Here is a 23,031-nt window from a genome sequence, read left to right as displayed (position 1 = left end):
TACTATAAACACCTCTACGCAAATAAACTAGAAAATCTAGAAGAAATGGATAAATTCCTGGACACATATACCCTCTCAAGACTAAACCAGGAAGAAGTTGAATCCCTGAGTAGACCAATAACAAGCTCTAAAATTGAGGCAATAATTAATAGCCTACCAACCAAAAAGTCCAGGACGAGAGAGATTCACAGCCGAATTCTACCAGAGGTACAAAGAGGAGCTGGTACCATTCCTTCTGAAACTATTCCAATCAACAGAAAAAGAGGGAATCCTCCCTAATTCATGTTATGAGGCCAGCATCATCCTGATACCAAAGCCTAGCAGAGACACAACAAAAAAAGAGAATTTTAGACCAATATCCCTGATGAACATCAATGCAAAAATCCTCAATAAAATACTGGCAAACCGAATCCAGCAGCACATCAAAAAGCTTATCCACCACAATCAAGTTTGGCATCATCCCTGGGATCCAAGGCTGGTTCAACATACACAAATCAATAAACATAATCCATCATATAAACAGAACCAAAGACAAAAACCACATGATTATCTCAATAGATGCAGAAAAGGCCTTTGAGAAAATTCAACAGCCCTTCATGCTAAAAACTCTCAATGAACTAGGTATTGATGGGACATATCCCAAAATAATAAGAGCTATCTATGACAAACCCACAGCCAATATCATACTGAATGGGCAAAAACTGGAAGCATTCCCTTTAAAAACTGGCACAAGACAGGGATGCCCTCTCTCACCACTCCTATTCAACATAGTGTTGGAAGTTCTGGCCAGGGCAATCAGGCAAGAGAAAGAAATAAAGCGTATTCAATTAGGAAAAGAGGAAGTCAAATTGTCCCTGTTTGTTGATGACATGATTGTATATTTAGAAAACCCCATCGTCTCAGCCCAAAATCTCCTTAAGCTGATAAGCAACTTCAACAAAGTCTCAGGATACAAAATGAATGTGCAAAAACCACAAGCATTCTTATATACCAATAACAGACAGCCAAATCATGAGTGAACTCCCATTCACAATAGCTTCAAAGAGAATAAAATACCTAGGAATCCAACTTACAAGGGATATGAAGGACCTCTTCAAGGAGAACTACAAACCACTGCTCAACGAAATAAAAGAGGACACAAACAAATGGAAGAACATTCCATGCTCATGGATAGGAAGAATCAATATCGTGAAAATGGCCATACTGCCCAAGGTAACTTATAGATTCAATGCCATCCCCATCAAGCTACCAATGACTTTCTTCACAGAATTGGAAAAAACTACTTTAAAGTTCATATGAAATGAAAAAAAGAGCCCACATTGCCAAGACAATCCTAAGCAAAAAGAACGAAGCTAGAGGCATCACGCTACCTGACTTCAAACTATATTACAAGGCTACAGTAACCAAAACAGCATGGTACTGGTACCAAAACAGAGATACAGACCAGTGGAACAGAACAGAGCCCTCAGAAATAATACCACACATCTACAACCATCTGGTCTTTGACAAACCTGACAAAAACAAGAAATGGATTCCTTATTTAATAAATGGTGCTGGGAAAACTGGCTAGCCATATGTAGAAAGCTGAAACTGGATCCCTTACTTACACTTATACAAAAATTAATTCAAGATGGATTAAAGACTTAAATGTTAGACCTAAAACCATAAAAACCCTAGAAGAAAACCTAGGCAATACCATTCAGAACATAGGCATGGGCAAGGAGTTCATGACTAAAACACCAAAAGCAATGGCAACAAAAACCAAAATAGACAAATGGGATCTCATTAAACTAAAGAGCAAAAGAAACTACCATCAGAGTGAACAGGCAGCCTACAGAATGGGAGAAAATTTTTGCAATCTTTCCATCTGACAAAGGGCTAATATCCAGAATCTACAAAGAACTTAAACAAATTTAAAAGAAAAAATTAAACAACCCCATCAAAAAGTGGGCAAAGGATATGAACAGACACTTCTCAAAAGAAGACATTTATGCAGCCAACAGACACATGGAAAAATGCTCATCATCACTGGCCATCAGAGAAATGCAAATCAACACCACAATGAGATACCATCTCACACCAGTTAGAATGGCGATCATTAAAAAGTCAGGAAACTACAGGTGCTAGAGAAGATGTGGAGAAATAGGAACACTTTTACAGTGTTGATGGGACTGTAAACTGGTTCAACCATTGTGGAAGACAGTGTGGTGATTCCTCAGGGATCTAAAACTAGAAATAACATTTGACCCAGCCATCCCATTACTGGGTGTATGCCCAAAGGATTATAAATCATGCTGCTGTAAAGACACATGCACACATATGTTTATTGTGGCACTATTCACAATAGCAAAGACTTGGAACCAACCCAAATATCCATCAATGATAGACTGGATCAAGAAAATGTGGCACATATACACCATGGAATACTATGCAGCCATAAAAAAGGATGAGTTCGTGTCCTTTGTAGGGACATGGATGAAGCTGGAAACCATTATTCTGAGCAAACTATTGCAAGGACAGAAAACCAAACACCACATGTTCTCACTCATAGGTGGGAGTTGAACAATGAGAACACTTGGACACAGGGTGGGGAACATCACACACTGGGGCCTGTCGTGGGGTGGGAGGAGGGGGGAGGGATAGCATTAGGAGAAATACCTAATGTAAATGACGAATTAATGGGTGCAGCACACCAACATGGCACATGTATACATATGTAACAAACCTGCACATTGTGCACATGTACCCTAGAACTTAAAAGTATAATATATATATATAAAATAAAAAATAAATTGCCACAGCCACCCCAGTCTTTAGCAGCTACCACTCTGTCAGTCAGCAGCCATCAACATCGAGGTAAGACCCTCCATCAGCAAAAAGATTGTGACTTGGTGAAGTCTCAGATGATTGTTCGCATTTGTTAGCAATAAAGTATTTTTAATTATGTACATTGTTTTTTAGACATAATGCTATTATATACTTAACAGACTACAGGATAGTATAAACATAACTTTTATATGCACTTGGAAACCAAAAAATTCATGTGACTCCCTTTATTGTGATACTTACTTTATTGTGGTGGTCTGGAACCAAGTTCCCAATGTTTTCAAAGTATGTTTGTAACTTCTAGAAGAAAACATAGGAGAAAACCTTCATGATCTTGGTGTAGACAAAGATTTATTAGATAACATACAGAAATTATGAACTATAGAATAAAATAATGATAAATGTACTTCATCAACATTTTGAAAAAGTCATTGAGAGCTTTTATGAAAGAAAAAGGCAAGCCACAGACTAGGAGCAAAATATTTATAAAATATAGATCCAACAAAGGGCTTGTATTTGGATTATGTAGAGAATCCTTACCAGTCAACAATAAGAAGACAAGGAACCCAATAAAAAATGGGTAAAAGATTTGAGCAGATGTTTCATGTTTGCCAATAAAAGTGTGCATTTAGCAAAAATAGCAACATAAAAAGATGCTTAACATCATTAAGTATAGAGAAATTCAAATTAAAAATACAGTAAAATACAACAACACACCCATAAAAGTGGCTACATTTAGACTGACAATACTAAACGTTGGTGAGAATGTGGAGCAACAAGAACTTTCATACATAAAGGGTAGAAATAGGAAACCACTTTGCAGTTCCTTGTTAGGTTAGACATACACTTGCTATGTATGTTTAACTTACTATGTACTCTTACTATATATCCCCATGATTTAACTCCCAGGTAAAACACAAAGACTCGTGTGAAAGGCAGCTTTATTCATAACGCCCTCAAATTGGAAAGAACCCACATGTCCATCAGAAAGTGACTGGATAAATACATCATAATACATTCATACAATGGAATACTATTTGGCAATGAAAATGAGTAGATCACTGACAAAATTCAGTAACATGGGTGAACCTCAAGATCATTATGCCAAACGAAGCCAAAAAAGTCCATACTATTTGTGTATGTTCATAATACGTGTATGAAGTTCTAGAAAAGACCAACCTAATATGTAGTGATAAAAAGCAAATCAGTGGTTGGCTGGGGTAAGGGTTAGTAGTTATTGGGAAGGGACACAATGGGACTTCTTGGAGTAACAGGAAGGTTCATTATCTTGAGTGTGGTGATGGCTACAGGACTGTATGAATTAGTTGATTCATCAATCAGTCATAAATCAAAATGAATACCTATTTGGTGCATTTTATTATATGTAAATTATACTTCAAAATTGATTTTTTTTAAAGAGACGAGGTCTCACCCTGTTGCCCAGGCTGTATAGTGGTGCAGTCATAGATTACTGTAACTTCTAACTCCTGGGCTCAAGTGATCCTCCTGCCTCAGCCTTCTGAGTAGCTGGGACTACAGGCATGTACCACCATGCCCAGCTAAATTTTTTTAAACTTTTTGTAGAGTCGAGATCTCGCTTTGTTGCCCAGGCTGGTCTCGAATTCCTGGCCTCAAGTGATCCTCCTGCCTTGGTCTCCAAGAACGTTGGGATTACAGATGTCAGCCATTACACGTGGCCCAAATTGATATTTAATCAATGCTCAAAGTATACATTGAACAGATACCAAATGGTAGACACTGGTTGCATGAAAAGTATGTAACAATAGAGACTGGGGATGTCACATGTTTCTAGCTAAAGTGGCTGAGGACAGGATGAATGAAGGGAGATGAGAATCTAGGTAGAAGAGCAGGTCTGAGGGGTGTGTGTGTGTGTGTGTGTGTGTGTTTATCCAGAATTAGGCATCTGGGATGCAGTGTCACAGAATTTGCCCATTAGCAGACTGTGATTTTATTAACTCTCCTGATTAATCAATGTTTCCCATTAGCACTGGCAGACTGTATACTTGGGTTTCATTCTTTAGTCCCAGCATGACACTGCCATGTGAACAGTATGCAGGAAGAGATGTGTGGGAATTAGCTTCCAGCACTACTGATGGCTTTATTTCTGTGATTTGAACCACCTGTCTTGGGCTCCTATGGGCTGTACCAGGTCATCTATGACCCTGGCCACCCAGGTTTCTCAACTCCTTCAATTTCCCTCCAGATTCAAAGATGATCCATGATTGTCGCGTTTGAGGAGCAACTCAGTTGCTCCGTTTCACTTCTGTTGTCAAGCTACCTGCCACATGAGTGGGGAAAACATTTCATCATATTATGGCTTTCTTGGGAGCAGTTTCTATCTTAGGAGTGAATGCAGAGTGGCAGTTTTGTTCTTGTTTGGGGGCTGATGAAAATCCTTGGGTGAAGTCACTGCAGGATGTTAGCTGTGCGGGCTGAGTGGATGTAAGTGAACATATTCGGTGCACCGCTCCTGGCAAACATGCTGTGACTCTATTGCCCCAAATTGTCTTCTTAGAGCACAAAATGTTTTCTTAATATGTTTCTTTTGTGTGATATAAGTGACTATGGACTACTGAAGACTTCAGCTGTTCCCTGGAGGTTGCCTGATTATACTAGGTAGGAAACATTCTCTGCCTTGTTAACTTACCTTCATCCCTTTCTACAGCAAGAAGCCTGTGATGATTTTATAAGGTGGTATATGTGACTTCTTTAAGCTATAAGTCAGTGAATTCATTTAATACCATTGACAGCCTTAGCTAGTGCCATGCTATGGTGTTAGGAAATCACCCTTGTTTATTCGGCCATTGTTGTGACACAAGACCCAGTCCTGCATAGGGGATTATGTGTGGTCTGCACCCTCAAAGAGTTTATAATTGACTGGGAATACCAGGCACAGGTAAACAGTCAACTGCACAGATTGGTTTTGTCATGTGCAGGGAAGGGAATGAATATTGAATTCTGCAGTAAGCTGAAGTCATGCTGGGTTTATACATTCATCTAACCATCTCAACAACACTACGAAATACAGATGAGGAAACTGTCCACAGGGAGAGTGGCCCTCCTTTGGAGCCATGTTTCACACCTCAGCCTGTTGATTCCAAACTCATTCTTTTTCCACTTTATCAAGGCAGCATGAGATAATGTTAATAAATTAATAGATAGGACTCAGTTTATATTTCATGTGATCAGAACATTTTACCCGTTTTTGGACAGGTTTAATTTGTCTGCCATCTTTTGCTCATGAAAATTGCCATAAAAAATAAACAGTTTGAAAGGTATACATTATTTAAAAGCAGAGACCTATCTTCACTTAGTATTTCTTCTACTGATGGAAGTCTCAAAGTGATCAAAGACCATGCTGTGGGTTTTACAGCTGTTCATACAAAGCCCTCAGGCATAACTTCTCTGCCGTCTGTTCTGGTTGTGATCTTCAATATAAAGAGCCAGGACTCAAGTCATTCCCCAGCTGCGACAGATGTCCAGGGAATGCACCTCTTGCTTATTGGGAGAATAGGGGCTTGCCCCATCTGCTCTCGAGTCACTCACTGCTGCAGGTTGCTGCTGGATTTGTCTGCTTCTCTTGGAACTCTCGGAACTCATATTGCTTCCCTGCTGCCCTCTGCATGGCTCTCTGTGCCACCTAGCCACTTTCCTCATGGCCAGACATCTCTTTCAGCTCAGTGCTAGGACCCATATTTATATATTTTAATCTCTAGGAAGTTAAGCCATTTTCCATCTATGTTGTAAGTAGGGGGAAAACCCACAAGAAACAAATGAAAAGAAAATGCCTTAACTCACTTTTATCTGTTTTCGGCTTCAGCCAGAAGAACTTTAGCATTTCTCGCAGGTCTGGTAGAGACTGATTTCCTCAGCTTTTGTCTATCTGTAAATGTCTTTATTTCAATTTCATTTTTGAAGGTTATTTCTGCTGGATGGAGAAGTCTAATTAGACATTTTCCCCCTTTCAGCACTTTAAGGATGCAGTTCCTTCATCTTCTTGTTTCTGTTGTTACTGATGAGACATCAGCTGTCGCCCTTATTGTTTTCCTCTTATGTAATGTATCTTTTTCCCATTCTCTGCCAGCTCTTAAGATTTTTCTTCTTTATTTTTAATTTTCAGCAGTTTGGCTCTTATGTACCTATAGATGTTTTTCTTTGTACCTATCCTGCTTGAGCTTTACTGAGCTTTTGGATTTGTAGGTTGATGTCTTACACCAAGTTTGGAAAATTCTCAGCTATTACCTCTTCAAACGTTTATTCTGTCCATACTGTCTCTCCTAGAATTCCAGCTGCAGATGTGTTAAACTTCTAATGTCCTACATATCTCAGACTTTCAATTTTTTCCTCTTTGTTTTTCAGTTTGGATAATTGTAATTCAGTTTGGACATACTGACCTGTCTTTAGGTTCACTGATTATTTCTTCTACTATATCCAATCTTCTGTTAAAACTATTAAATGAATTCTTTATTTATGAATTGCATTTTTCCTTTTTAGCATTTCTGTAGGTTCTTTTTTATATTTTCACTTATCTTCTCAAATTCCTCCTCTATTCTCACATAACATCCACCTTTTCCTTTAGACTATTTAACATATTTATCCGAGTTCTATAGCCCCTGTCTGTTCCCAACACCTTGGTCATCCCTGTCTGCTTTTATTGAACGTTTTGAACGTTACCTCTTATTGATGGGTTACATTTTCTTGTTTTTTGACATGTCTCCTAAGTTTGCATGTCAGGCATTATGTATGAAAGGATAGGCTGAAGAAAGGGCAGGCTCTGCCCTCCACAGGTAAGGTAAGGGAGGGCTATCCAGGACCCTGGGGTTGGCTGCCCATTGAACAGCTTGAAGCCCAGCGCTCAGGGTGTTAGTGATTCTCACGACCTAAAGTAGAGGCTGAAGTATTAATAAATAACATTTACCCTCCAGAAAAAGAGTGTTCCTCCTTTTCTGCCCATGTGTTAGTGTGGGTGGCTCAGTCGTTCCAAATGTAGCCAAGCTGGGCTGGGCTTTTTTTGCAGTTGTAGTCAGACTCTTCTCCACAAACCTCACGTCTTGAAAGTGTGATCAGGACTGACCCATCGGTAGGGCTTAGGATCTCAGCACTGGAAAGACTCCAGCCATCTTCATGCTTTCCAGCCTGCACCCAGCATCTGACCACAGGAGACTTTTCTCTGCCTTACTGAGAGCCCTCGGCCCTGGGGACTGCTTAGGCATTCTTGTTGCTCTCCAGTGCTGCCTCTGGGGTCCCCTTGTGCCCTGCGCCATGCCTCCAGTCTTTACTGCATTGGAGGGATGCCTCTTATCAATCCTGTTCCGCCTTGTGCATGGGTGGAGAACCAGGGTGGGTGGGTGCCGACCTGTCCTGGGCTGGGGCTCCTGGGGATTGGAATCCACACACCCACTCCCCATGCGTTCTGCTGTGAGCATGGCTGGTTTCTCCTCCCCATCCATGGTGGGCTCCTCCACTTCCAGCCCTTTACCTGGAGGAAAGCAGCTTCCGGCCCCCTCCTTCTGAGCAGGCTTGTCACTTTTGGGGATTTATTTTAGTCTGCCTTGTTTTTGCTTTTGTTTTTGTTTGCATTCTCAGCTCTCTGGTGGGTTACAAACAAACAATCATTTTGTCACTTAAGCAGACTGTTTGTCTCATTAAGGCAGGATTGAGGATTTCCCTGTGACTTCCTCCATTCAGCAAATGTTTACTTGCCAGAAATACCATGTTTCACATAAACTGCTCCTTACAGAGCCCTGGGTTTCATAGCAGAATCCTAGCCCTTTGGTTTGCAGCTGTGTGTCGGAGGCCAACCTCTCACTTCTCTGAGTTCTGTCACCTTTTCTGAGGAGCGCAGGCAATGAGAGTCACTAACACCCTGAGTGCTGGGCTTCAAGCTGTTCCGTGGGCTTGAACAGGGGCCTGGCTAGCTAGCCCTCTCATACCTTACCTGTGGAGGGCAGAGCCTGCATTTTCTTATCATGGGAAATAGCAGAATGGCTCACACTAGTCCATATGTTTTATGGTAAAATACCAGGAAAACTGCTTTTAAAATCAACAACAACAATAGCAACGATGTATTGAGCTCTGTGCCAGGCACATTTTCTGTGTCTCATTTAACCTGCATCGCAGCTCTCTGAGGCAGGGGCTGTATTTAATTGTCAACTCCATGAGACACACAGGAAGCAGATGAAGATTTATAAAACTTGCCCAAGGCCCAGAGTTAGTAAGCGTTGGGACTGGGATTTGAACCCAGGCAGTCTGTCTTCTGAACCCAGGATGCCAGCCTGTGATCAGGGACTGCCCACCTTAGCTCTTGGTTTGCGGGAGGACAGGAGATGCCACCACACACAAGAGAGGGAGAGGATGGAAAGGAGGGTCCCATGTGGCATGCTGCTGATCACGGATCCAAGCCAATGGGGACCACCAAGGGGAGTGTTGGGGGTGCCACACAAAGCTGCTTCTCTGCTGGGGTTAGTGCAGGCTGAGTGTGCAAAGGGGAGGACATGGCGTGGACAGAACCCCAGATCTAGTGGTGGCTGTGTCTGGCCTGCAGAAAGGAGCAGGGCATGTGGGTGGGACAACAGCTCTCTGCGAGCCCCTTCTTCTGTGGCTGGTTCCTGCTCTACATGTTTGTCAGGGTGAAATGTGGTCATGACTATAGCTAAGATCACAAGGGAGAGACCCCAGACGAAGCAGTGTGACTGAGCACCTGGAGAAGTTGGCCAGGGCTGGAGCCCATCCCCTGGGAGGGCACAGGTGTGCAGGGACTGCTTGAGGGCAGTTTGGGGATCATCAGAGGCCCAGTGAGGGCAGCCCTTCTTCCCCCTTCATCCCTTTGCCCTGCGTTGCAAGGGACTCATCTAGCAGGTGTGTCGTCTTTAAGCCCACAACAACCCTGCCAGGAGGCATGGCTTAGTCCTGGCCTCCATTTGAGGAGACTGAGGGTCAGGAGGTGAAGGGCCTGCCCAGAGTCACACAGCACGAGGCGCAGAGCAGGACCAGGCCCCAGGTAGGGGGACCAGAGCCCAGGCCTCTCTTCCTCTAGGTGCAGCTCTCCAGGGTCGCCCACTCAAGGATCGTGTGGCCCTGGCACTGGGTTGTGTGTTGTTAGATTTTGTGTGTGGATCCCTTAGCTGCTGCCCAGAACCAGGCATGGGAGGCCAGGCTTTGTTCAGGGCAAGGGGCAGGGCACCAGAAGATGAGGTAAGGACATGGGCGTGGGGCTGCCCTCACCCCCACCAGGAGAGCAGTTCCTGGTGCACAGCAGAAGAATTAGGGAGTGGGGGGTGTGGAGGTCACTCGGGGCAGGAGGGGGGTGGGCAGAGCATTATGGGATGGTAGTGTGGGGGCTAGTTCGTGGGCTGGTACTTTGAGGATGGGCTTTTGAAGACAGAGCCCAGGGTCTGGTGGGGTCAGCCCAGTGTGTTGGGGAGGGCGGACTTGGAGCGCAGGGCTGCCCTCTGGGTGTTGGGCAGCCTTGAGACCTAGAGCACTGCCTCCAAACTGCAGTTGTGATGCCCCCCACTCCCCTCCCACCCTGCCCAGGGAAACTTGTCAATGTCAGAGACATTTTGGTCACCACAGCTGGAGAGTTGGGAGCTGCACTGGCATTCGGCTGGGAGAGTCCAGGGATGCTAAACATCCCAGAAGCATGGGCGGCCCCACACCAGGAAGGCCAGCAGTGTGGAGGCAGAGACCCCAGCCCCCCTGCTCCACAGCCCCGGGTCCTCCTTAGGCACTGTTTTCCCCTGGCCACCCATCTAGGCCGCAGCTCCCAGCACACACCCTGCCTCCTAGCACACACCACATCTACAACCCACATCTCAGCAATTGGCACCTCCATGCTGCCCCAGCAGAGGCTGGTCCTTGACATTTCCTTTGCCTCCCCTCCACATCCAACCTCTCAATTCCACGTCCTAAGTCCCCCTGTCATGTCCACCCCTCCCATCTGTCCTTCCCATGTCCACAAATCTGATGATACTCTCCTGCTTAAAACCTTTTAAAGATACCGTTTCTTTTGGATTGCATAAGAATAGCAAACACCCACCCAGCCTCCCAGTGTGCAAGTACCATCTGAGGACCTCCACAGCCATTTCATCCTCCCTGCAACTATGATTGCTTGCATTTGACAGGTGAGGAAACTAAGGTGAGAGAGTAAGTAATGCATCCAAGGTCATGCACTGGTGAGTTGTGGATCTTGACTTTGAGCCTGTGTAAATGACCACCAGTACTCTGATACCACAGACCAAAGTCCCTAGCATGGCTCAAGGCCCTGCCTAGTGGGGGGCTGCCCATCTTCCAGCTACCCCCAGCTCCCTGCTCTCCAGCCAGGTGCCCAGCCAGCCAGCTCTGCACTTTCTCTGCCCGCAGCCCTTTCCCTTCCCCTTTATCTAATCAATGTGTACTCAGCCCCCACCCACAGAGAATTTCCTTCTTGGTTATTTGGTTCCAGTCTGCCTCCCCCAGGAGGCTGCATACTGCGTGGGAGGAGGGCCTGTGTCTGGTTTGCTCATCACTGCATTCCCAGCTCCTGATACACTGCCTGACTCCTAGTAGGTGTGCAACAAATATTTGTGGAAAAGAGTTTAATGAATTATGTAGAAAGAACCTCTAACCCTAGGAGAACAGCTGCTGGGCACACACCTGCAGTGGTGTGTGGTGAGCACAGAAGAGGGTGCCTCCCACCCTGGTGACTGCAGCACCTGCCCTTGGAGGGGCTGCCAAGAACCTTCCCTGAGCTGGACGCATCAGTGTTCGTAGACCACATTTAATAACAGGCAGAACGGCCAGGCGCGGTGGCTCACACCTGTTATCCCAACACTTTGGGAGGCTGAGGCGGGCGGATCACGAGGTCAGGAGTTCGAGACCAGGTCGGCCAATATGGTGAAACCCTGTCTCTACTAAAAATACAAAAATTAGCTGAGTGTGGTGGCGTGCATCTGTAGTCCTAGCTACTCGGGAGGCTGAGGCAGAAGAATTGCTTGAACCCATTGAAATTTCTAGTTTTTCCACATCCTCAGCAATAATTCTTTATAATAGGCATTAATGGGTAGAGAGTGGTGTCTCACTGAGGTTTTAATTTTCATTTCTCTAATGACCAACAATATTGAGGGCCTTTTAGGTACTTCTCAGCCAGTCATATACCTTCTTTGGTGACATGTCTTTTCAGATCTTTTGTCCATATTTTAACTGGGTTGTTTGTTTTGTTATTTTTGGGTGATAAGAGCTCTTTATATTATTTGGATACCAGTTATTTACCATATATATGATTTGAAAATATTTCCTCCCCATTTGTGGCTTGTTTCATTTTTATAATGGTGTCTTTAGAAGCACAAAAATTATAATTTTGATAAAGTCTGACTGTCAGTTTTTCCCTCCTTTGGATTATGATTTTGGTATCTTATTTAAGAATTATGCCTAATGCAAAATCATAAAGTTTTTCTCATTTTTTCTAGAAGTTTTATAGTTTTAGCTCTTATATTTTAGTCTATGATCTATTTTTGGTAATTTTTGTGTATGATGTGAGGTAAGTTTTTAAGTTCATTTTTTTGCCTGCATATATCTAATTGTTCCAGTACCATTGGACAGAGTACCCTTGAAAGACTGCCTTTTCCGGCCGGGCGTGGTGGCTCATGCCTGTAATCCCAGCACTTTGGGAGGCCGAGGTGGGTGGATCACGAGGTCAGGAGATCGAGACCATCACGACTAACATGGTGAAACCCCGTCTCTACTAAAAATACAAAAAAATTAGCCGGGCGGGGTGGCAGGCGCCTGTAGTCCCAGCTACTTGAGAGGCTGAAGCAGGAGAATGGCTTGAACCTGGGAGGCAGAGCTTGCAGTGAGCCGAGATCGCGCCACTGTACTCCAGCCTGGGCAACAGAGCGAGACTCCGTCTCTAAAAAAAAAAAAAAAAAAAAGATTGCCTTTTCCACATTTAATTGCACAGCACCCTTGTCAAAAATCAGTTGGTCATAAATGTAAGTCCAGAAGGACTCTTAATTCTGTTCCATTGGTTATTCTTATGCCAGTAACACACTGTCTGTCTTCATTACTTCATTACTGTAACCCTGTATTACATTTTGAAAGTGGGAAGTGTGAATCCTTCTATTTCGTCCGTTTCCGAGATTGTTTTGGCTATTTTAGATTCTTTGTATTTCCATATAAATTTTAGGATCAGCTTATCAGTTTCTGGGATTTTGCCTGGAATATATAGATCACTTTGAGAGTATTTTATCTTAATGATGAAATCTCAGTATGTATGAACATAGAATGTCTCCCCATTTATATAAGAGCTTTTTGAAGTTTTCTCAGCAATATATTGTAGTTTTCAGGGTACAAGTCTTATACTTCTTTTATTAAACTTAGTCTCAAATATTTTATTCTTTTGGATGCTTTCGTCAATGAAATTTTCTTAATTTCATTTTTGGATTGCTCATTGCTAGTATATAGAAGTACACTTGATTTTTGTATATTGATCTTACAACTTGCAATCTTGCTGAACTAGTTTTATTAGTTCTGGTAGTTTTTCTAATGAATTCTTTAGAATTTTCTAGGTACCGGATCCTGTCACCTGCAAATAAAGATAATTGTACTCCTTCCTTTCCAATCTGGACAGGATTGTTTCTTTCTTCCTGGTTGCACGACCTAGAACCTCCAGTGTAATGTTGAGTGGAAGTGGCCAGAAGAGACCCCCGTGCCTTCCTCCCGATCCCAGGGGAGGCATTCAGTCTTTCATCACTGAATGTTCTATTCCCTGTGGAATTTTCACAGCCACCCTTTGTTGAGTTGAGGATGTTCCTTTCTATTCCTAGTTTATTGAGAGTTTTTATCATTTAAAGAGTGTTGGATTTTGTCAAAAGCTTTTCTCAGTCTACTAAGATGATCATTTGGGTATTTCAGATCAAACAAATTTGGAGATTTAGGTATCTTTCTTTACTTTCCTAATAGTTACAAAATCATTAAATTTCAGAAATATCTAAGGAACCTTAAAATTCCTTAAGTGCTGTGTTTCCCAAACTTCCATCACTCCTGATTTCTACCAGTCACTTTTCACCTATACTGTTTACCTAGTAATTTTTTTTTTTTTTTTGACATGGAATTTCGCTCTTGTTGCCCAGGCTGGAGTAAAATGGTGCGATCTCAGCTCACCGTAACCTCCGCCTCCCAAGTTCAAGAAATTCTCCTGCCTCAGCCTCCCAAGTAGCTGGGATTACAGGCATGCACCACCACGCCCAGCTGATTTTGTATTTTTAGTAGAGATGGGGTTTCTCCATGTTGGTCAGGCTGGTCTTGAACTCCCGACCTCAGGTGATCTGCCAGCCTCGGCCTCCCAAAGTGTTGGGATTACAGGTGTGAGCCACTGCGCCTGCCCTACCTAGTAATATTTTTATAAATCAACTCACATTTTATGAATATGTACTTAAATATATGTATTTTAAAAGGAAACAATATTGCTATGTGAAAGGTGTCAATGAAAAGAGTCAAACTGTAAAATATTTGAAGAGATTATTCTGAGCCAAATATGGGTGACCAGTGGCCAAAGAGATCCTGAGAACATGTGCCCCAGGTGGTCAGGACACAGCCTGGTTTTATACATTTTAGAGAGACAGGAGACATCAATCGAAAACATGTAAGATATACAGAGTGGCTTCCAGGTTATAGGTAGATTTAAAATTTTTCTAATTAGTAGTTGTTTGAAAGAGTTAAGTTATTATCTAAAGACCTGGGATCAATAGAAAGGAGTATCTGGGTTACGATGATAAGGGGCTGTGAAGACCGAAATTTTAACATGCAGATGAAGCCTCCAGGTAGCAGGCTTCAGAGAGAATAGAATATAAATGTTTCTTATCACACTTAAGGTCTGTGTTGATGTTAATGCTGGTCAGCTTTTCCTGAAATCCAAAAAGGAGTGTTATAGTATAGGTAGCTAGTCAGACATGAGCATGGCAGGAAAGGGCCTCCCCACCGGGAATGTCAGGCCACCATCAGGTGATGGTCAGGCAGTTGTGAAACTGTCTCTCTAAAAATAATAATTGGTCGCAGCCAGCGCCAGGAAAAGGCAGTCTCCCAATAGATAGATACAATCTGAAGCTGGTGAGCAGCAGCTTCCCGATAAGGTCTCTGGAGTTGGGCGAGTGGGTTCAAGCATGTGCACTAAGAGGCAAAACGGTGGAGTTTAAAACACTTGACTGGGACGGAAGAACGCCTCAAGCGAGCATGCGCACGGTTTCAGTAAACACACCACACCCGTGGCCCCTCCCAAGTTCTGGCAGGCCACTGCTCATGCAGACAGCCCGTCCCAAGGGAAGAATCAGAGAAGGGATGCAACCCTCCGGGAGCCTGCCAACATGTAAGCCCCAAGTCAGTGGTCAAACCGTGCACTTGATCTCTCAAGACACCCACTTGTCCTCTTCCAAGTATACTTTACTTCCTGTCATTCCTGCTCTAAACCTTTATAAAAAGTATATAAACCTTTTAGTGAACTTTCACTCCTGCTCCAAACTGCCCTCTGTCTCTCCCTTTGCCTTATGCCCCTCGGCTGAATTCTTTCCTCTGAGGAGGCAAGAACTGAGGTTGCTGCAGACCTGTACTGATTCGCCACCGCTGCTAACAGGAAGATGGTATGATGAAGCATGTTCAACGCTCCCTTCCCATCATGTCCTAAAACAGTTTTTCTGGTTAACTTTGGAATGCCCTGGTGGAGAGGAGGGGTTTATTCAAATGGTTGGGGAGCCTTAGAATTTTATTTTTGGTTTACAAAGGAAAATAAAACTGGGACCCCAATTCACTCTGCCTAAAGGAAAAAATTAAGCTGAAAGCCGAGTCGTGCAAGAAGCAGCCTTTCCTTTTGTTCCTGAGCAGACAGTAACAGATAAAAGTTAAAGAGCTTCACTCCATGTTCACCTTATCTTATAGTGAGCACAGGATGAACACATAATTGACCATTCCCCTACCTGCTCCTTTTCTCTTGCAACATGTGGATTCAGTAATGAGACCATACCCTCCCTCTGTCCCCTCCAGCAGGCTTTTCCCCTTTAAATATTGAAGCTGTTAAAACCATCTTTGGAGAAAGGCACAGACCTGTCTCCCGGGATGTGTCCTTAACCTTGGCAAAAATTGATTGGGACCTGTCTGAGATACTTTTGGTTTACAACTACCGTAAAAGGAAACCAATCTTACTGCCTTAAACAGAAAGGAATTATAATAATAATGGCACAGAAGAAAAGATATATAAGATAAAGTGGACCTCTGGGTTAAGAGGGTGGATTGAAAACAAATGTAATAATACTGTCTACCGAAGGTCCTCTCAGATTGCAGCGGGATGTTTCATGAAAGCCTAGACCCGGAAGAATAGGAGGATAGGAGACTGCAGCAGCTGACCTCTGGAAGCCAGAGCTGGATGAGGGACCTGAGCGAGAGGAGACTTGGGCAGCCGGAGCTGAAAGCTGAGCAGCAGATGCCACTGGAGCCTGTGAGGGCACGATTGAGTGTGGGGCTGGCTTGCTGCTGCTCCCACACCACTGCAGAGGCGTCCTCTCTGGAACATGGAGACAAGGTTTTTGGACAGGGGTTTCCCAGTCCCCTGGAAGAGATTAAGAGACTACTGAAGATCTCCAGGGCACTGCAAGCCAGATCTGTACCCTCCACCCAGGAGAAGGCAAAATGTCTTTCTGGAGAGCCTGGGCAGCCAGAGGGGAAAGGTCAAGAAACCTATCCTGGCCCTGGGAAAGTGGAGGGTAAGGCAGAGCCAGCCATGAGAAAGGATGATGTTTGCCCAGGCATGAAATGTAAGTGATGAATGCTGATTTATCCAGAAGTTCTCCTGTAATTGCTTTAGGGGATGAGATAGGGCATGGAGGCCGGTTTTTAACAGCTGAGTCCTCATCTCCCACAACAGGTATCAGCGGATGATCTCTCACATGGAAGAAGCCAAAGCAGCTACACCCAATGGCTTAGCAATAAGAAACACCAAACCAGACAAACACCACTGCTGCTGGGAAAGGGACCTGGCAGAAGGAAAAGGCTGTTCAGAGAGCAGAGGTATTTCGTGTGAGCCTTTTAGGGCTTCTTGTCTCTTTAGACCACATGCACATATTACTTGTATAAAATAATGCACCAGATACAAACAATGAAATACAAGTGCTGAGTTCGATAGACTCATACATCCCTGTTTGAGAATAATGCTCCCCTGTGAAGGATGGGAATGTCACCATTGGCCAGCTAGCAGGGGATTGTTGGCAGGCATGGCCTGAGACAGTAGGCACAGAGGGTATGGCCTTTGGTTTTGGTGAGCAGCGGGGAGCACCTGCCGCAGTGCGTGGTGGGGCAGGGGACAGCATGCCACTCACTATGCTGAGCTTGAGTCAGAAAAGTCATTCCTGAAGCAAAGCAGTGTGCTGGAGGTTCTGTTTGCTCCTGCAGACACCCCCCACCGCCCCCACCACCAGCCCTCCTCCACCTGCTTTGTGTCCCTGGAGATGACCTCCAGGACTTGTCAGCAGGACTCCAGCCTTGACCTCCACTCAGGTCCAACCCATGGGAGGCACCAGCAGGAGACCAAATGGGGTGGGAGCCCCACAGCCACCCCAGGTGGGCAGAGGCTGTGACCTCCACCCAGGCCGCAGCCCTCAGGCAGCTCCTCCCCGCTGACATGGGGTGCTAACATCTCCTGCAACTCTCCTGGTGAGTTCACCCTCAGGAGTGGGCCACCTGTTGCCTCCTGCCGGACCTGACAATGGGACCATGGGGGAAGAGCCCCCTGCTCGTGGAGGGTTATTTCAGGAAGGCTTTGCGGCTCTGGGCGCTGCTGCTCTGCTCGTGTCAAGTGATTCAGTGAGAGCCACAGAGTGGCAATGGCTGCTGTTGTCCAGTTAGGAAAGCCAGGGAGGCCCTGTTACCAACCCTCTCGCTTGAGCAGCTGCCTCCAGGAGCCCTGCAGCTGACAGCCATGAGCTCCTTATATGTGAACTGCTTGACTCTTTAAACCGCATGAAATAATGCGACGACACACAGTGATGGACCAGCAGAGAGTAGCGCGTATGGGAGACTCACGAACATTGAAGGGACGGAAAGGTGAGGCGGCTCCAGGGCCCAGTGTGCTGTCAGCCACCAAGCAGGGCCCTGAACACAGTTCGTCCTTCTAGTAGCCCCAGTTGACAGGGCCTATGAGCTGCCAAGGAGCCTCCCTGGCCTCTGAGCCCATGAAATGAGTCTGCCGCCATCTCTCCAGACTGCTTTCAAGACCCAGGCCTTGGCTGTGGATGGTTTCCCCGACCGCTTCTGCCAGCCCAGCCCCTTCCAGGAGGCCCTGTGCTGTGTGAGGGGAGGCAGTGAGGGTGTGTGTCTGGCTTCTATTCCTCCCTTGCCCTCCCTTCCGACCCTTGTCCTCCACCCCAGCCACATGTCCCTCCAGTCCTTGTCTGACGGTGTCCAACAGCCCATGTAGGCCACACACAGGTCTATGAGAGCCAAACCAAGAGCCCAGCACTGCAGGCTGCTCTCCTGCTCTCTGGCCACCCCCGGTGCCCTCTGCAGGCCAGGATGGGCTGTTCTGCTTCATGTGTCAAGACTGTCCAAATTCCTGCCTGGCTCACACCCCGGCCAGTTGGGCGGTGAGGTAAACCTTCCAGCTCCCCTCACCCCAGGAGGAGCTATTTTCTCAGTTTGCTGAGGAAGGGCCTGGCAGGGCACAACCATGGTGGCCTCCTGGGTGGTCACGGGGTGGCGGTGGGGTTGGGCACTGAGAAGGGAGGTGCCTGGACCTGGTATCCACATGTGATGGGACTAGGCAGGGCACAAGCTGCAGGAGCAGAGCAGGGCTCAGGGCCCATGCCCACCCTGCCAGAGGGTGCAGACAGGCGGGAGCACCCAGCTTGTGTGCTTCAGGGCATGGTCCCCCAACTAGCCTGGCTGCAGGACCCAGGGCAGTAAGGGCCTGTCCGGAACCAGCTTCTGCTCTGTGTCAGGGCATGCTCTGCTCTGCTGGACACATAGCACCAGCATTGGCGAGGACCCTCGAGCCACCAGTCTGTTGGGAAACTAAAGACCAATCTGCTTAGAGAACAGGCCTCTCATCACTTTAGAAGAGCTTCCTGCCAGTTCCTGCTGAAGCCAGTCCCTGCTTCTTCCTTTTAGGAGGAAAGTCTCGGCTGGGCATACAATGCCAGCTAGAGACCATATGTCCAATGTCCCTTTGCAGCTGGCATGGCTGCCAACCATGTGACTAGGTTTGGGACATGATGTTGCAGCTTCCACTTCAAGTCCTTATATGTGAAGTTTTCTGCCCTCCAGTTCCTCTCCTCTTCCAGCCCACAGGCGGGAGTACAGGTGTGAAAGGAGCCAGCTGCCGCCATGCACCTCAGGGAGAGGCGAACCACAAGGAAGGACCAGGGCTACTGAGTGACCTCACTGGGCACAGTCCCACCAACGTGGGCTGCTCATCTTTAGAGGGTTAGGAGAGGGAGGTGCCAGCTTCTGTGTTTCGGGGCCACTGCATTGGAGGTGTCTTTGTTGCAGCAGGTGAGTGCTGACCAACATGCCATCTCCGTGTGCCAATTTAAAGGGCATTTCCAACCCCAGGCATTTGGAAGACAGACTAGCCTCACAGTCAAGCAGTCTGAATTTCTTCCTGCAGCACCTTGAATGCACCTGTGGGAACCTGGGGCTCTGTTTTCTTGTAACCCCTTGGATCACCACCAGCATACCAAGGACGGCCCAGCCAAGTGCAAAGGCAGCCTGGCTGCCTGCACTGGAGAGCTGCTGCCCTGGAGGAACAAGCCTGGGCCTCTCCCAGCCCTGTCAAGGCCCCTTCCTCTGGTGTTTGGGGAAAGGGGTTGGACTCACATCTTCTTGGACAGCTGCCTGACCCCAGAGCTGGTGCCCTGCTCACATTCCCTCCATGGAGATGAGGCCAGGACTCAGGACCACCCTCTGCCTCCAGGGGACACAGCTCCCACCACAGGCTCTGGCACAGGGCTGGTGCCTTTCAGGTCACAAAAGGACTTCACACACAAAAGCTGTCAACAATATCAAATGTCCCTGCTCCTACAGCCATGAGCCACGCTCTAGTCTGGGAGGGGCTCACTCATTGGTCCCCCCTGCCGCCTCTGTGGTCCCCACTAAGTCCCCCACTGCACACACAGCTGTCTACTCTCAAACTTGAATCTGGTCTCTGTATTTAAAAATATGCAATTTGAGTTTTCTCTTTAGTGGACTCACAGGCCCCAGGTTGGACTTAGGGCAGAATTCAAAGCCCCATGATCTGATGTCCCTGACCCCTCCTCCCCAGCAGCCTTGTATGTGGTGAAAGGAGGGGATGGAAGAATGACCTCTTGCTGTCCCCAAAGCAAACACCATTACCCAGGCAAAATCCTGGGTCACAGTTGTAATGTGAAAAAAAGAATGTAAAATAAGAAACATTGAACAGGACGGAGAGGGTTTGTTCTGTTTTATGAAGGACACAATCTACACTGGAGTCATAAGCATCCTGAGCCTCTTTGCACCTGTGCCGGGAATGATGCTCCAGAAAATCTGAGGGGAGAGGTGGTTTCAGCCCTTGCCCACTCGTTTCATCACTGCACCACACGCATGCCTCATCAGAGAGCGCAGGCCTGCTGGGCCACCCCCTCCCTCTGATATTCAAAATCTCAAGGGCTGCAGTCCCAGAGCGGGGTCAGCCAGTCTTCCTGCCAAGCCTGGAGCCCGTGCATCCACCTCTGCTGTTCCCTTTTGCCAGCACACGATGGCACCAGGGAAAGCAGAGCCCATCCTGTGGCTGGGAGGGGCTGGGATTCCTGCACTGGCCACAGAGGCTTCCAGAGAGAGAACAGGGTGCTATTCCTGCAGATGCTTGCAGGCTGCCTCCAGATCAGGCTCCCAGGACACAACCCTTAACCCCAGTATCACTTCCCCCCCTTCTCTGTCCTGTAAGCCGTTTAGGAGTCAGGCACAATTTCTTTCTGCTCATACACCCTTGGAGTCCAGCGCTGACACAAATGAGTGAAGCAGCCCAGGTGTCCAAAGAGCACATGGGCCTTGTCAAGGGGCAGTCTCCACTCACCTGGCCCCCTGTGACCACCTGGGTCATGCGGGCCATGGCAGCTGGGTTCCCTGAATAGTGGAGAAATGTGAAGTCTCTTTCAAACATGGGCAGATAGTTCTATTTCCTATCCACTTTATTGAGGTAGCCACCATGATGGTTATATAGAATAATTCTATAACCCCAAAAATGTTCCCTAGTGCCTATTTGAAATCAGTCCACTCCCCTTCAGTACTGACCCCTGCCAACCACTGGTCTGTTTCTGTCACTATAGTTTTGCAAGTAGAATCACATGGTATGTAGTCTATAGTGGCTCATTTTGTTCATTTAGCAGAATGCATTTGAGACCAATCTACATTGTTGTGGACATCAGTAGTTTGTTTCTTTTTGTTGCTGAGTTAATAAAATACAGATTGTCCCTGATTTGACCAATTCAAGCTGGTTCTGGGTCATTTTGAAGTGTCCTCATCACTCTTTGATCACTGACTTGCTTTCTGGCAAACAAGATGTTCTAGGCTCATCTGTGTGTAGGGGGCGGTGGGTGGAGTTGTGTTTATTGAGATAAATTCACATGAATTAATCATTTTAAAGAGTGCAATTCAATGGCATTTAGTACATTCACAATATTGTGCCACCACCACCTCTTGTCAAAATATTTCCATCATCTCAAAGGGACACCCCATACCCATTAAACAGTAACTCCCAATTTCCCACCTCCCCAGCTCCTGACAAACTCTATTCTACTTTGTCTCTATGAATTTGTCTATTCTAGATATTTCACAAAATTGGAATAATATATGACCATTTGTGCCTGGCTTATTTCACTTAGTTTAATGTTGTTGAAGTTTATCCTGTTGTAGCATAAACTAGTACTTCATTCATTTTCATGCTAAATAATATTCCATTGTATGGCTATAACACATTTTGTTTATACATTCATCTGTTGATGGATACTTGAGTTGTTTCTGCCTTTTAGCTATTATAAATAATTCCGCAATGAATACTAGTGTACAAGAATCTGCCTGAGTCCTTGTTTCAATCATTTGGTAAATATACCTAGGAGTGGAATCACTGGGTCTTCTGGTAATCCTATGTTTAACTTTCTGAGGCCCTGGCGGGCTGTTTTCCACAGCCACTGTACCATTTTCCATTCCCTCCAGCAATGTGAGAGGGTTCTGATTTCTCCACCTCCTCGTCAACACTTGGTTTTTCCTTTTTTTCGGCTAATAGCCATCCTAATGGATGTGGAGTAGTATTTCCCTGTGGTTTATTTGCATTTTGCTGATGCCTAACAATGTTGAGCATGTTTTCATTTGCTTGTTGGCCATTTGTATATCTACCTGGGTAAAATGTCTATTTTAGTACTTTGCACCTTTTTAAATTGGTGTTTTGTTGTTGTTGTTGATTTGTAAGAGTTCTTTATATAATCTGGAATGTTAAACCATTATCATATTTGCAAGTATTTTCTCCCATTATATGGGTTGTCTTTGGCTTTCTCGATAATATCCTTTGAAGCATGAAAGGTTTTAGTTTTGACAAGGTCTAGTTAATCTATTTATTATTTTGTTGCTTGCACTATTGATGTTATATTTAAGAAACCCTTGTCCAATGAAAGGATATGGAGATTTAAACCTATACTTCCTTCTAAGACTTTTATAGTTTGGAAGACTCCTTTTAAGAGTGTTATATTCAGACTTTAGATCTGTTTTTAGCTAATGTTTGTGTGTAGTACAATGTAAGGGTCCAATTTAATATTTTTACATGCAGATATTCAGTTGTCCTAGTGCCATCTGTTAAAGAGACAATTCTTTCCCCGTTGAATGGTCCTGGTACCCTAGTAAAAAGACAATTAATGATAGATTTATGGGTTTATTTCTGGAAACTCAATTCTACCCTATTGATCTATGTCTATCCTCATGCTAGTATCACAATGTTTTGATTAGTGTAGATTTGTAGCCTGTTTTCTAATTAAGAAGTGTGGGTTTTCCAACTTTGTCTTACTTTTTCTAGATTGTTTTGCCCATTCAGGGTCTCTTGCCTTTCCATACGAATTTGAGGATCAGCTTTTCCATATCTGCACAAAATGAATGGGATTTTGATAAGTATTGCACTGAATCTGTTCTGATAGGGATGACATTGAACTGGTGGAACATTTT

General features: G+C 45.3%; 1 long non-coding RNA gene across 1 annotated transcript in view, besides 2 other annotated features; it reads right to left on the bottom strand.

Moving 5' to 3' along the window:
• Positions 1–23,031, bottom strand: part of LOC105374090 (uncharacterized) — a 48,528-nt gene that overhangs the window by 18,760 nt on the left and 6,737 nt on the right. The window contains exon 2 of the long non-coding RNA XR_924455.2: positions 3,070–3,126. This is a non-coding gene — a long non-coding RNA (uncharacterized LOC105374090). The remainder of the gene's footprint in view (positions 1–3,069; positions 3,127–23,031) is intronic.
• Positions 17,463–18,372: an enhancer, noted in NCBI's record as "H3K27ac-H3K4me1 hESC enhancer chr3:126289252-126290161 (GRCh37/hg19 assembly coordinates)". NCBI's record gives its function as "activates a minimal SCP1, AML or CMV promoter by ChIP-STARR-seq in naive H9 embryonic stem cells {active_cell/tissue: H9 hESC(naive)}" and the evidence as "EXISTENCE:reporter gene assay evidence [ECO:0000049][PMID:30033119]".
• Positions 18,373–19,283: an enhancer, noted in NCBI's record as "H3K27ac-H3K4me1 hESC enhancer chr3:126288341-126289251 (GRCh37/hg19 assembly coordinates)". NCBI's record gives its function as "activates a minimal SCP1, AML or CMV promoter by ChIP-STARR-seq in naive H9 embryonic stem cells {active_cell/tissue: H9 hESC(naive)}" and the evidence as "EXISTENCE:reporter gene assay evidence [ECO:0000049][PMID:30033119]".

Source organism: Homo sapiens, chromosome 3, assembly GCF_000001405.40.
Source record: "Homo sapiens chromosome 3, GRCh38.p14 Primary Assembly".
In the NCBI taxonomy this organism is placed as follows: domain Eukaryota; kingdom Metazoa; phylum Chordata; class Mammalia; order Primates; family Hominidae; genus Homo; species Homo sapiens.
This window is presented reverse-complemented; position numbering and strand designations above follow the sequence as displayed.